The sequence below is a fragment of the Homo sapiens genome, chromosome 3, assembly GCF_000001405.40.
Source record: "Homo sapiens chromosome 3, GRCh38.p14 Primary Assembly".
In the NCBI taxonomy this organism is placed as follows: Eukaryota; Metazoa; Chordata; class Mammalia; order Primates; family Hominidae; genus Homo; species Homo sapiens.
In genome coordinates this window covers 132,316,611-132,331,574 of record NC_000003.12, presented here as the reverse complement: position 1 = coordinate 132,331,574, position 14,964 = coordinate 132,316,611, and the positions used below count along the sequence as shown (strand labels likewise).

Below are 14,964 nucleotides of genomic sequence, written 5' to 3'. Positions count from 1 at the left end.
GATTTTTTTTTTCATTATGTGTGTAGAATGAACAATGGTGTGGTTTAATAGTTCCACAATAATGACACATATTTAAGTGAAAACAAAAGAGCTGTACTCTTTAGTTACAGTTCCCTGACTCCCTGAGAAAACTCATTTATCTTCATTAGCACTTAACATAGAGACTTGCACATAGTAAGTGCTTAGTTGATAGTTGGGTGATTGATCTGATTTAAGTAAATGGTTCATCTCTGATGTAGTGGGATCCTTGTTGGTAGAGCATTCAAAGAGACCCACTTGGTGGGGATTTTGTGGAAGAAGCTCAACCATCTGATGAGATTAGACTCGATGAATCTGAAAGTCTCTTTCAACCTCTGTGGGCAATGCTTTACTATCTGCCCAGTTTATTAATTCCTGGTTCATAAAAAAATTAGAACATGTTACTCTAAGTGTGGTCTGTATTGGCTTCACTTAAAAGCATTATAGAAATCAAATTCTTGGGCCCCACCCTTGACCTACTGAACCAGAACCTTTGGGGGTGGTGCTCAAGAATATTTTTTAACAAGCTTCTGATGGACAGTAATCACTGAGATGCACTGCATTAGCTCAGTGGTCCACAACCATTACCGTGCATCAGAAACAAAATTATCCAGCGGTGCATGTTGAAATGCAGATTCCTCAGCATCTCCATCAGAGATTCCAGCTCATTAGTTCCTGAGTGGGGCCCTGACATCTGCATTTTAACAAGTCTCCCAAGTGATTCAGATGCATGTAGTAGAGCACCATGCTTTGGAAATGCAGCATTCAAGTTTGTCTTTAATCCAGAGCCTTACTAGAGCTTTGGGAGCCAGAGAGGAGGTTGTTACGGTGGCTGCTGCTTGGTCCCACTTGTCATTTGCTTGTCACACTTGTCATTTGCTTGACCACCACTATAATCACTTCCCATCTACGATAGGGACAAGGTGGGAAAGGAATAATATACCGTGACCTGAGTAGCGGAGAAGCAGGTACTTTAGGTCTAATTGTGTTCTTACAGCTGACTTTTTAAATAGTCGTCTGTATGAAGCAGTGATTTTCACACTTTAGCATGCACAGAATCACCTGGAGGACTCAATAAAACACAGACTTCTGGGCTTTAATTCCAAAGTTTATGGTTCACTGGGTATTGCGTGAAGAATTTACATTACTGAGAAGTTCCCACGTGATGGTGATGCTGCTGGTCCAGGGACCACACTTTAAAAACCACTGATCTAGACAGCCATCATCTTATGATTATGCAGATTAAAAATACCTAGACAAGGCAGATTAAAAGTACCTAGACACTGATCTAGACAGCCATCATCTTATGATTATGTAGATTTAAAGTACCTAGACAAGGCTGGGTGTGGTGGCTCAGGCCTGAAATTCTAGCACTTTGGGAGGCCAAGGCGGGTGGATTGCCTGAGCTCAGGAGTTTGAGACCAGCCTTGGCAACATGGCGAAACCCCATCTCTACTAAAAATATAAAAAATTAGCCAGGCGTGGTGGTGCTCTCCTGTAGTTCCAGCTACTTGGGAGGCTGAGGCACGAGAATTGCTTGAATCTGGGAGGCAGAGGCTGCAGTGAGCTGAGATCGAGCCACTGCACTCCAGCCTGCGGGGACAGAGTGAGACTCCATCTCAAAAAAAAAAAAAAAAAAAAAAGTACCTAGACAAGGGTAGGAATCTGAGCCCTAGAACCTTGTCACTTCAAATGTGGTCCATGTACCAGTGCCATTGTCATCCTTGGGAGTATGTTAGACATGCAGAATCGCAGGTCCCACATCAGACCTGCTGAATTAGAATCTACATTTTGACAAGATTCCCAAGTGATTCATTTGCACATGGAAGCTTGAGAAATACTGCCCTAATAGAATCTGATGGGTAATCAAGGTTCTTCAGAAGAAGAACTCAGATCCTGCAGCCTAGAAGAATCTTTTGGTCTTAATGGGAAAACATAGCAACAGAACAGGAGTCTATACAGAGCCATAGGTATTAACAAGCAAATCTGAATTTTTGTAGCCTCTCTTTCATTCAAAGGGACAGAAGATGGGTAGGCTATGGTGAGAAGAGCTTTGACCTGGGAGACAGAAGATGCTGGTCTCAAATAGCCTGCCTGAGTTTTCTCCTCTATGAAATATAGTCAGGGCAGAAATTCTCAGCCTCGGCTACACATTAGAGTGAACTGATCACCAAGGAGCTTCTAAAAATCCCAATGCCCAGGACACATACTAGACCAATTAAATAAGAACCTCCCAGGCAGACATCAATATATTTTTTAAACCTCTCCAGATAATCCCAATGTTTTGGCAGGATTAAGACCCATTAGTTTTTGAGACATTCTACTCTAAAGATTCTGTGACATTTTCTTAATTAATATATTTAAACAGATCAGGACAGAAGCAATTCACCTGGCCTTGTGGCTCCAAACAGAAGAGTCATCCAATCTTACAAGCAAAGGGAATAGGGCTTTGGAACAGTGACTAAAGATGGCTTTGCTCCCCAGTTCACCTTCTCCTTAGATGCTCTTCAGAAAGTAGGGCTCCCTGTGTTTAACTGACCACTTATAAGGAAGGTCAAATCCCAATATATCCAGCTGACAAGAAATCATATTCTGATATCAGCACTTTGGGGAATCATGTTTCCCAATGCTGTTGATTCAGCTTATTGATTACAAGACTATTTTTCACTTTCTCATGTGAAGCCTAAGAAATTCAAATCCTGGCTTATGATTACCACTTGGCTCTCTTCAGCATTTCTAAGCTCATATAGTCTTTGTTCATGTACATCTCTTACATTTAAATAAAGCCAGAAGGGCAAAAAATATCAAAACAGACAATTCTATATACATTTCCCCTTGAGACTCATCAAGAATCTTTTTTTTTTTTTTTTTTTTTTTGAGATAGAGTTTTACTCTTGTTGCCCAGGCTGGAGTGCAATGGTGCGATCTTGGCTCACTGCAACCTCCACTTCCCAGGTTCAAGCGATTCTCCTACCTCAGACTCCCGAGTAGCTGGGATTACAGGTGCCCACCACCAATCCTGGCTAATTTTTGTATTTTTAGTAGAGAGAGGGTTTCACCACGTTGGCCAGGCTGGTCTCGAACTCCTGACCTCAGTTGATCCGCCTGCCTCGGCCTCCCAAAGTGCTGGGATTACAGGCGTGAGCCACCACACCCAGCTTCATCAACAATCTTTAGCTAAAAGTCCAACCAACCTGGGTGAGTTGGCCAAATCCTTGTGGCCATGAGGATTCCTTTATGGGGTCAGTGGGAAAGGTGTCAATGGGACTTCGGTCTCCATGCCGAAACACCTGAAAGTAGATGTGAGAGAGTGATGTTACAAACGTCACTTGGGTGTTTTGCTTCTGCTCATTATAATAGTTTTTTTTTTTCTAACTCATTGGTTTTAACTTTGGCTTCCCATTGTAATCACGTAAGGAGTTTTAAAAGATTCTGAGGACTGGCTTTCAACCTTAGTGATTTTTATTTAATTAGTCTGGGATGTGGCCAGGACATCAGGATTTAAAAAATCTCCCTGGGTAAATCTCTAGTTAAGAACCACTATTCTAAGTTCACTAACACTTTCACTGTGTTTCAGGTAATGTAAGAATCAAGATGATCAGCCATTAGAAGGCAGGTGACACATAATGGAGATCGGTTTGTACATAAGATAGGACAGAAAGGAACACAAAGCTGACAAGAGTACTTTACTGCAGACAAACTCTGATGAGAAGTATTCTTCCCTTAATGATTACAGTAATAGTGGTATAACTTTTTTTTTTTTGAAACAGTGTCTTGCTCTGTTGCCCAGGCTGGAGTGCAGTGGCGAATCCCAGGTTCAAGCAATTCTCCTGCCTCAGCCGCCTGAGTAGCTGGGACTACAGGCGCTTGCCACCACGCCCAGCTAATTTTTTTATTTTTAGTAGAGATGGAGTTTCACCATGTTGGCCAGGCTGGTCTTGAACTCCTGACCTCAGGTGGTCCACTTGCCTCGGCCTTCCAAAGTGCTGGGATTACAGGTGTGAGCCACCGTGCCCAACTAGTATAACTTTTTTTTTTTTTTCGAGACTGAGTCTTGCTCTGTCATCTAGGCTGGAGTGCAATGGCACCATCTTGGCTCGCTGTAGCCTCTGCCTCCCAGGTTCAAGTGATTCTCATGCCTCAGCCTCCCGAGAAGCTGGGATTACAGGCACACGCCACCACACCCAGCTAATCTTTGTATTTTTAGTAGAGATGGGGTTTCACCATGTTGGCCAGGCTGGTCTTGAACTCCTGACCTAGTGATCCACCTGCCTTGGCCTCCCAAAGTGCTGGGATTACAGGCATGAGCCACCACACCTGGCAACATTTTATATACAATAAAAATAATAGATTTTTAACACCACATACAATTTGTGACCATTTTGAGCCAATGATTTGTTCATTTTTTGGAGATTAGGAGTAAAAGATTGCAGGTGGGGAGGTTAGGAAAGCTAATTCTCAATACTTTAATAACATACTTCTATATTTGTACCCATGTCATGCTATTGTGATTGCACATTTCTCTTTGGGAAGAGTAGTCTGGACTTTTGAAATCTTGGTGCTTTGATTCTAATATGCTTTCTCAGTATAATATCAAACCAAACACAAAGCCATCTTATGAGCAAAAGATAAGGAAAGAAAACACTGAAGAACTACAAGATGAAGTCTACACTGATGTCAGCAAATATTTTTAATATAGAGACAGCTGCATAACACCTTGATTTATCTGAGGTTACCCGCACCTGTACTTATACTACCTGGCTAAAATGTTCCATTGAAAAGTAAGCTAAGAACCTGCTCTTTTGAAATTCTGTAAAACAGAATTCAATAGACATTAAATAAGAAAACAGTCTCAGACTTTAGTCATTTTTGAGAAGGAATTCCAAGAAAGTGGGAGATGCTTGGTTTGTGTCTCTAATATCTGAAGAAAACAGATCTTTTGGCCCTTTAAACTAGTGACAAATTAAAACTTCGGTAGAGTAGTCTACAGAAACAGGGGCAATGATGCAATAAATGTTAAGCGATCATTTTGGTCAGGTGAGAAATTACTTTCATGAATGATCCCCTGAAGGCAGGAAGGACAGCTGCATATTTTTTTGTGAGCACCTGCAGTTACTAGTCTCAGGGGTGACTTGGTCATGATCAGAAATGATTATGGTTAATCATTGATGCCTCTTTCCACAATTGAAGTACATTTTAGAGTTTTTATATCCCAGGTAAATGTGTCTTTGAATAACTAAAGTTGTTACATGGTTTCAATAAATTACAAACCCCACACTGTTTTAGTTTCTAGGGCTTCTCAACCTCAGCATTGTTGACATTTTGGGCTAGATAATTCTTTGTTGTGGGGGTTGTCCTGTGCATTGTAGAATGTCTAGCAGCATCCCTAGCCTTTACCCACCGGATGCCAGTAACATTCCCCAGCTGTGACAACTGAAAAAGGCACATTTTCTGCCATAGGGGCAGAAAATCACCCCAAGTTGAGAGCCACTGAGTTAGCCAAAGAGAAGTCAGGTGAGAGACATTGTAATAAAATAATTTACATTGCTTCCCACCAACCTATAACCACAACGGTAACTCCTTAACATTTTTTGAACACTCACTTTGTCCTGGAAACTGTGCTAAGTGCTTCTCATAGATGTAATCTTCTCATCAGTTCCACAAAGCAGTTACTATTATTATTTCCATTTCACAAATGAGGAAGTTTAGCTTAATTAAGTGACCTGTCTAAACTCACACAGCATGTAAGAAGTGGTAGAGCTGATATTCAAACACAGGCTGTGCCTCCAACTCCAGCATACTTAACCACCTGTGAGAGGTTCATTTCTGTATGATCACACTCCTCACAGTCCCACCAGCTAAATCTGAATGGTCTGGGATCTAACGCTTCTTTATTAACTCTACTTAGTATACTCTTTTCCTCTAGGATTGGAAGGGGTGTGTGTGTGTGTGTGTGTGTGTTTTGTATCAGAAGAAACCAAAACCTTGATACGGAAACTACCCCGAAGGCACTGTGAACTATGTATATTATTGAAAGAATAGAACTGAGGTTATGCAACTAAATGACAGAATGGCCTGAGAGAGAAAAACAAGTGTGGTCACCTTAGCAGAGTGTTTTGAAGAGCAGAGAACTGGAACATAATCATGAGACTTGGGCAAACTTTCTCACTCTGGCCCATAGTTCAGAAATAATTGTACTCCCCTACATTTCAGTAGGTTTTAAGTGTTTCCAAGGTAGTTGCTCAAACATGCTGTCAACCCTTTGGAAGGGATGTCCTGGAGAAACACTTAATAAACCATTCTCCACTTCCAGGGCTGGAAATCAAAATGTGTGCACACACCCCTCCCGCAGGCAAATGTGAAGCTGGTGTTCCTTGAGCTTTTGGAGTTTCAAAATTCAGCTGGAGTTCTTGGACTATGCGAAGACATTCTTTTAATTCTGTGGTAGAGCAATCTTCTTAACTGCTGCTCTACCAATTATTACCTCTGTGCTCAGTCCAGCAATCATACTCTATGAAATCCTTTAAAAACCTAAAAATACTTTATTAGCAATTAGGATTTTTGCAGTAGTAGTGGTAATTGTAATAGAAAGACATCCAAGATAATAACAATTCCTGGCCAGGCACAGTGGCTCATGCCTATAATCCCAGCACTTTGGGAGGCTGAGGCAGGCGGATCATGAGGTCAGGAGATCAAGACTATCCTGGCCAACATGGTGAAACCCCATCTCTACTAAAAATACAAAAATTAGCTGGGTGTGGTGGCGCATGCCTGTAGTCCCAGCTACTCGGGAGACTGAGGCAGGAGAATCACTTGAACCTGGGAGGCAGAGGTTGCAGTAAGCCGAGATCGTGCCACTGCACTTCAGCCTGGTGACAGAGTGAGACTCCGTCTCAAAATAAATAAATAAAAATAAAAAAAAATAATAATTCCTTACATTTGCACAACCCTCCATGGTTTGTAGAATTTTCCCCTGCTACCTCTTTTAATTATTACATCCCCGTCTGAGGACAGGTTGGCACTACTGCTGCACTGAGCAAGTAAGAAAACTATATGATCAAAGAGATCATGTAGCTGTCCAGATCTCCTAATTCTCATGATAGTTGGCCCACTGTTTCCCCATCATACTACAATCACTTCACACTTTTAAATCATAGGTAACTGTTTTTAAAAGGACTTTTGGTTTGGTGCCCCCATGAATGAACCTGCTCCACTGAATCTGCTAAACAAATCTGGCATGTGGCTTAGGGTGTGGAGAACCTGGTGAGTACAGTCGAGGCTATATCCAGTGGAAAATGTAAAGATATACAAAAGTGGAGTTTTTTTTTTTTTTTTTTTGAGATGGAGTCCTGCTCTTGTTGCCCAGGCTGGAGTGCAATGGCATGATCTTGGCTCACTGCAACCTCTGCCTCCCAGGTTCAAGTGATTTTCCTGCCTCACCCTCCCAAGTAGCTGGGATTACAAGCACCTGCCACCACGCCTGGCTAATTTTTGTATTTTTAGTAGAGACGGGGTTTCGCCATGTTGGCCAGGCTGGTCTCGAACTCCCGACCTCAGGTGATCCACTCGCCTTGGCCTCCCAAAGTGTTGGGATTACAGGCGTGAGCCACTGTGCCCAGCCTAAAAGTGGAGATTTTTATCATGAGCCCACCACTGTCTCCAACAATTATCAACTTGTATGTGGCTAGTCTTGTTTCTTTTATATCCTCATCACTCTTAGATATTATATCATGTTCTATTGCTCTTTGCATAAATTAAAGGTCCTTACAAGGGCTCACAAGATCTTACCTGATCTGGTCCCTACCCACCTTGATATTCTCACCTTGATGTCCTCAGCTTACCCACATGGGCCCTCCTGCTGTTACATCCAATATACTAAATTTGCTGAAGCCTCAGGGCCTTTGCTCTTGATGTCCTGTCTGCTTTGAATGTCTCAAGTCTGCGTCTTCTCTCAGCATACACACCACTCATCAATTTGAGGTCTGTCCTGAAAATTTGACCTTTACAGAGAGACATCCCTTGACCATCATTATAATTCTTGCTCAATCTCTATCTTATCTCACTGTTTTATTTCAAATAAATATTCCTGATGTTTTCTTATTTTTTGTTTTTACTAAAATTAAAAAAAATCTGGCTCCCTCCCTGTCCCTAGAAACTCCTTGAAAGCAGAAGCCTTGCTGTCACAAGCACTGCTATAACCCCAAAACAGTGCCTGGAACATAGTAATATGCAAAAAAGGCCTGTTCTGATGAACAGGTGAATCTCGGATTGGGTCTAGTACTTCCAGGTACATTATGGATTTCTTTCCAATCTTCTCATTTCATGAGGGTTTTTGATCATCATCCTTATTTATCAGCAAGGTGTGCTATGTGTGCTTTTTTTTTTTCCTTTCTTTCATCTTCTTGTCTTTCCCCTCTGTCTTAGCCCATTTTCTGTTGCTTTAACAGAATACCTGAGACTGGGAAATTTATAAAGGAAAGAGGTTTATTTTGCTCACAATTCTAGAGGTTAGGAAGTCCAAGATCAGGCAGCTGCATCTAGTCAGCTTCTGGTGAGGGCCTTGTGCTGTGTCATAACATGGCAGAAGGCATGACAGGACAAGAAGGGGCACACTGAGAGCCAAAATGGTTTTTATGATAGACTCACTGACATGATAACTCACCCACTTCTGTGATAACCTATTAATCCATTAATCTGTTAATCCATTAATCCATCAGGAGAGTAGAGCCCCCATGGCCCAATCACCTCTTAAAGGCCCCACCTCTTAAGGCTGTTACATTGGGATTAAGTTTCAACATGAGTTTTGGAGGGGACAAACATTCAAATTGTAGCAGTCTCTATCCTATTCATTTGTGCCTTTGCTTCTAGAACAGTGAGTCTGCTTCCAGACTGGATTGAAGTCTCATAAACCATCATGTTCTCCTTTCAGGTTTGGAATTGGAGACACATCATAAAACTTTGGGGTGATTCTGGAAGTCCTAAAAGGAACCTTATCTCCTGACATTAAATTCTTCTTATTATTTTATTAGGGTATACTCTAAGTTGTGAAAATCTCGTGATGCACAAAGATAACTATGAGTAGAAGTCTATTTTATTTTCTTCTTTTAGGACCTAAGAAATAAATCCATTGGTAAAGAAAATTAAAAATAAAATAGTTTGGGCAGAAATAATTGAGTAATGTAAATGAGTGTCATTTCAGAGGTTAGAAGGAAAGCTGGCTGACCTTGAAAGGAATCAGCATGAGAATATGTTCTGTACTCCCCGTGAAGCAATCAGGACAAGTCTAATAAGACTTTGATCCAGAGACTGGGACGAACACAGAGGCCTGCAAATAAGGGAAGCTGTAAAAACTGTGTATTATGTTGTGTAGAAGATGTGTGATATATCAGAAAAGGTCTGGGTTTTCAGTTGGTTAGACCTGGGTTCAAACTCCTGCTTTGTCAAGGTCCTGCTGGGTGACCTTGGGAAAATGATTTAACTTAACATTCTGCATGCCTCAATTTCCCTTTCCTTTCCTCAATTTCCTTTCGTGTAAAACACAAAAGCATTATTTCTCATCCAGGAGCATCATGAAAATTAAATGTGTAATATATGTAAAGCCATCAGTATAATACCGAGCACACCGGATGCATTTGATATGTGGGATTTATTATTATATTTGTTATAATTATTTTTGTTGTTATATTATTCAGACATTTAGCTTAGCTAACATATATACTTCCTTTCCTGCTGACAATAATTTGCAGCATATAGGGCAAATGAGCACTACCTATTGAGCAATGGGAAACAGCACTCTCCTTCGAGACATACCTCTGTTAATTTCTAATCATCTCTCCCTACTTTTATTTCCTTGGCTGAGAGGAATAATTAATTATTCCTTTGCATTTAGGATACTGAGAAGCACCCACAGGAATAACCTGGTTGGCTGAAATGTCTTGGCCAAATGCACCCTGAAAATTTGTGAAATGCATTGGCATAAATCTGGGGAGAAGCTCATGTAAGCAAACTGAACTGAGCCTGGCTCAGTACCAACTCTCAGCGCACGGTGCTGTTTCCGGCAAATGTCTTTGAAAAACCTGTGGTCTCCAGACAGCTTGGCTGTTCCTTGGATACAGTGATTAGGAGCCATACAGCAAGGGAGAGAGATTGTATGTAAGGTTGTTTGTGAACTGAGGCAGGAGACCTGATTTTTGCTTTTCAGTGGAATTTTATCTGGTCCATCTTTTTTTTTTTTCTTTTTTGCAGAGATGAGGTCTTACTATGTTAACCAGCCTGGAGTCTTGCACTCCTGGCCTCAAGCAATCCTTCTGTTTCGGCTTTCCAAAGTGCTGGGATTACAGGTGTGAGTTGCTGCACCCAGCCTCTGGTACCTCTTTTTATAAGCCAACCCAAGCGACAGGGTTTTTCCCTGTTGTCCAGGCTGGAGTGCAATGGTGTGATCCTAGCTCAATGTGGCCTCACACTGCTGTGCTCAAGTGATCCTCTAGCTCCACCTTCCCTAGTAGCTAGGAGGTCCTTCATGTCCATAATGTGGAAGTTACCCATTCCAGTATATAGATTATGTGCTGAGAATTTGGAGGCTGCTTCCATCAAGAATATCATATTATGCCAGGCGCAGTGGCTCACGCCTGTAATCTCAGCCCTTTGGGAGGCCAAGGCTGGTGGATCACCTGAGGTCAAGAGTTCAAGACCAGCCTGGCCAACGTGGTGAAACCCAGTCTCTATTAAAAATACAAAAACTAGCCAGGCATGGTGGCACACGCCTGTAATCCCAGCTACTTGGGAGGCTGAGACTGGAGAATCACTTGAACCTGGGAGACGGAGGTTGCAGTGAGCCAAGATCACGCCATTGCACTCCAGCCTGGGCGACAGAGTAAGACTCTGTCTCAAAAAAAAAAAAAAAACCCAAGAATATTATATTACTTGATTAAGAATTCTGCATGAAGAAAGTCAACCATGAAGAATGAGAAGAGTGTATACCTTGTAAGTCATCATTCCTTTCTTAACACCGGTGAAATGAGATGGAATTTTTCTGTCTTGGATCAGCTGAACTTGTGGGTTTTCTCTGGGTTAGGGGAGACAGGATGCTTTAAAATGACATTTTTCTATTTCTGGATGATATGGTGCATGAAATAACTTAAAAAACTCAAGTGGGTGTGTGTGGGAAATGAGTGGCTATGCAGATGAAACAAGATTGCATGGGTGATAGTCTTTGAAGCTGGTTGATGAGGACATCCAGATTCACCATATTTACGATTCTTTCCATATAAAGTTAAAAATGTCAGTTCTCTCAGTGTTTTCTACAGGACATTGGGGAAAAAAAGAGGGAGGTGAATGCTGTAATCAAAATTTTGAAAACAGAGTTTGGAAAACACTAGATCCTTTCCTTGAAAGCCACAGTGCGTATTAGCATGTTAAAGACTTAGGATTACTGCATTAAAGAGACCTTTTAAACACAGTTTAACCCAGTTCTATTCCCAAAGCTAACTTGACTATTGAAACTGATTTTTTCCCCATGTACACCTGTTAACAACTTGTCAAACTAGCATTTCATGGGTCACAGGCACTTCAGTTAGTCCGAGAACAAGAACCAAGGACAGTTTCCTCCTCTTTCTGCTGAGAACAGCTTTTCAGAATTGGGGAGGATTTATTTTTCTCGGATCACAGAGGAAAAGCAAGGGAACCACCTGCTGATTCAGAGTCAAGCTAATCCAGCAAACCTTACAGGGGGATCTCAGACTAGCTCCATGTGCTGGGTTATATACACACAGCAGGAAAAGACCATGTCTAGTGATAAAGGGAAAGGCATCCGGGGTCAGAGAGCCTGGGTTCAAATTCTGTCTCCACCATTCCATCTGTGTGACCATGGGCAAGATGCTTAACCTTTTTGTGCCTCAATTTCTTCATCTATAAAATAGGAATAATAAGTTTTACAAAACTTTATAGAATGGTTGCCAGATTTGGCAAATAAACATACAGGATGCCCAAATATTGCATGGGACTAAAAAATTATTTGCTATTTATCTGAAGTTCAAATTCAAATGGTCATCCCATATTTTATTTAACGACCTTATTTTAGAGGATTGTTGACAGGCTTATGTGATACAATTCATATTGAACACTCAGAACAGTGCCTTGTAAGCACTCAATTGCAGTAAGTACTTGCAGTAAGCACTCAATTGACTATTGGTTATTATCATTAATATTACCACTTTAGTTATGGGCATCTTTTAAAACAATTCTGGTTCTCCTAATAATTTTCTAAGAGTTATCTCATTTGTATAAATTAACCACTTATAGTCAAATATTCTCTTTAGTCAATAAAAATAAGAAACTGATGTTTATTGGCTTAAGTACTTAGATGGACGTTGTTTTATAAGGGCCAAGAAAGATGTATTAAATGGCCCTTCATCTACCATTAATGGAAGGAAATCATGGTAGGAAAAAATAGTTAACACTGGCTTTGTGCAATATTTGTTAATTTTTTTAGTTCTAAGAGAGCTAGCTTTGTATTTTGGCTTTCCTCAGGAAAGAATTAACTTGCAGTCCCTGAATATAGGAAACCCACAACAATTTGGTAGTCAAAGGAAGTTAGCCTGGGCTAACTTGGGTAAAACATGGAGGAGGGAATACATCATGTACAGTGAGCTTGGAGTAACTTGGATTTCTCAGAGGACTGCCACTCAACCAGCTTGTCACAGGTTTACAGTATTACAAGCACGGCAGATGCAGTACAATTTCTACAGTCCCTAAACTTGCCTCATGCACATGTTAGCAAGAAAACTACTGATAGAAGTACAAGCCTAGCTCACATGGGTTTCCCTAAAGAAGGCACACAGTATTATATATTTTTTTTCTGCACAGAAGTCTGACAGCTGGTGAATCATTTGTAAATAAATTGATAGTTTGTTTCACTGGGTTTTCTGTCATTGTTGACTCATGACCTAGTAAGGATTTACTGGACTATAAGAATAATGATTCAAATAAGCACATGGGTATCATATTTTCTGTAGAAAGTAAAGAGCTTTGAATATCCCATGCTGAAAAAAAAAAAAGCCTGAACTTTAATTTTTAAGGAAACAGTGACTTTCCTTCAAATTATAAAAATAATTTTTGAGTATTCTTGACAGAAAGAAAATTTACCTACTTATCAGCCCACTTTCACTATCTCAAATAAAAAAATGTAGGGAAGAGAAAGAAAACGAGAGAGGAAAGGCAAGAAGCAGCTTAGAGGCTTAGAGGCAGAGAAAGAGTGAAACAGAAGGAAAAAAAGATACAGAAACAGAAAATCAGACTCTTAGGTAACATGATGAATCCCCTTCACTTTGCAAACCCTCTTTCCATCTATTTTCAAACAATGTCAACAGTATATTTTCTTTTCTTGATATTATGCATCAGCCACCCCCCACCTTTTTTCATAACTGGTCACATGTGCCAATGATTTTAATCGTCAACTAAATCTATATATCAGAAAATCATCCTAAAATTCCAAATTTAGATTCACTTTTATGCTTCAAGGTTGTTTACAAATAGTTGTTCTAATTTCCTGATAAACAAAGGTGAAAGGACTACTTAATTCAGAAAATGACTGTTTTTTGGCTTGCAAACAAATAATGATTAAATTGAATGAAGCCAGCTCTTGGTACATAAACAGCGCCAGCTGTGGTTTCTTCTGGACTGGTGTGGCTGTCAAAAGGAATCTGAATTCAAGGCAGTTGTAAAGTAAGTAAATAAATAACATCAGCAAAAGCAAATAAAAAGCAACCCCTAAAAAAACAGCGACCAAAAAATATTTTTGTTAGGACACGTTAGGTCTTCATTAAGAGGAACTTGCAAAACTTGATTATTCACTTTCTGAGTTTGAACAGAGCCTGGTCTCTGGGAAACAATCCAAGGATAAGATGAAACCTGACGCTTGCCTTATCAGACTTTGCTGGGAACACAGTTTTAAGGAAAAAGCAATGAGAAAAGTCTACTTACCAAAGTCACAAACTTCAACTCCTTGGCTAGTACACTTCGGTCTAGCCAGAAAAAAAGCAGAAACAAGAAGCCAAGGCTAAGGCTTGCTGCCCTGGCCAGGAGGAGGGGTGCAGCTCTCATGTTGAGGAGAGCTGTTTCTGGCAGGAGTTAGGAGGAACTGCTACCACTTCAAAAGCCTGTAGAGGGGAAGCTATTTAATTAAGGGATTGAAAGGGAAGGAGGAGCCACACTCATAAGTAGTAAAGTTTCCAGGAAGCGTAGGGCAGGTTTGGTATGTAAATAATGTCATGTAAATTTTGAGCTGAGAGAGATCACAGTTTCCCCATTTAAGTTAGGACACCAAGGCCAAGAGCGGGGAAAGCTGTTGATCAAGGTCACAGAGCATGTTAGCAGACATTTCTATCCTTGTTTTCAGTTTACTTTTATCTTTGTTTTTTGTTTTTTTTTTTTTGAGACAGAGTCTTGCTCTGTCATCCAGGCTGGAGCACAGTGGCACAATCTCAGCTCACTGCAAACTCCGCCTCCCAGGTTCAAGCAATTCTCCTGCTTCAGTCTTCCTGAGTAGCTGGGATTACAGGCGTGCACCACCACACCCGGCGAATTTTTGTATTTTTAGTAGAGACGGGGTTTCACCATGTTGGTTAGGCTGGTCTCCAACTCCTAACCGCATGATCCGCCTGCCTTGGCCTCCCAAAGTGCTGAGATTACAGGCATGAGCCACTGTGCCAAGCCAGTTTACTTTTATCTTTTCTTTAGATAGGGTATGATACAGCGTTGGATTTGTGGCTGTCACTTGGGAAAGGGATCTACCCTGACTTTAGAAACCTTAGACCAGTGATTCTTAATCTGTTGGGAGTCCAAAGTTATAGGACTGAAATCTGGAAGGAAATACAGGTGTTGACATATTTGGGGCCTATTTCCATGCCAAACATGGCTACTTTTTCAAAAACTCTCATGTAGCCTATA

The 14,964-nt window shown here is 40.8% G+C and overlaps 1 protein-coding gene across 5 annotated transcripts in view; it reads right to left on the bottom strand.

Moving 5' to 3' along the window:
- Positions 1 to 14,168, bottom strand: part of ACP3 (acid phosphatase 3) — a 50,896-nt gene extending 36,728 nt beyond the window's left edge. For all 5 annotated transcript variants that reach the window (NM_001134194.2, XM_011512947.3, XM_011512946.2 and 2 more), the window contains exons 1-2: positions 13,999 to 14,168; positions 3,213 to 3,308 (exon numbers count right to left, since the gene is read on the bottom strand). In NM_001134194.2, the coding sequence (NP_001127666.1) occupies positions 3,213 to 3,308; positions 13,999 to 14,118 (216 nt within the window). In that variant the 5' untranslated portion in view covers positions 14,119 to 14,168. The remainder of the gene's footprint in view (positions 1 to 3,212; positions 3,309 to 13,998) is intronic.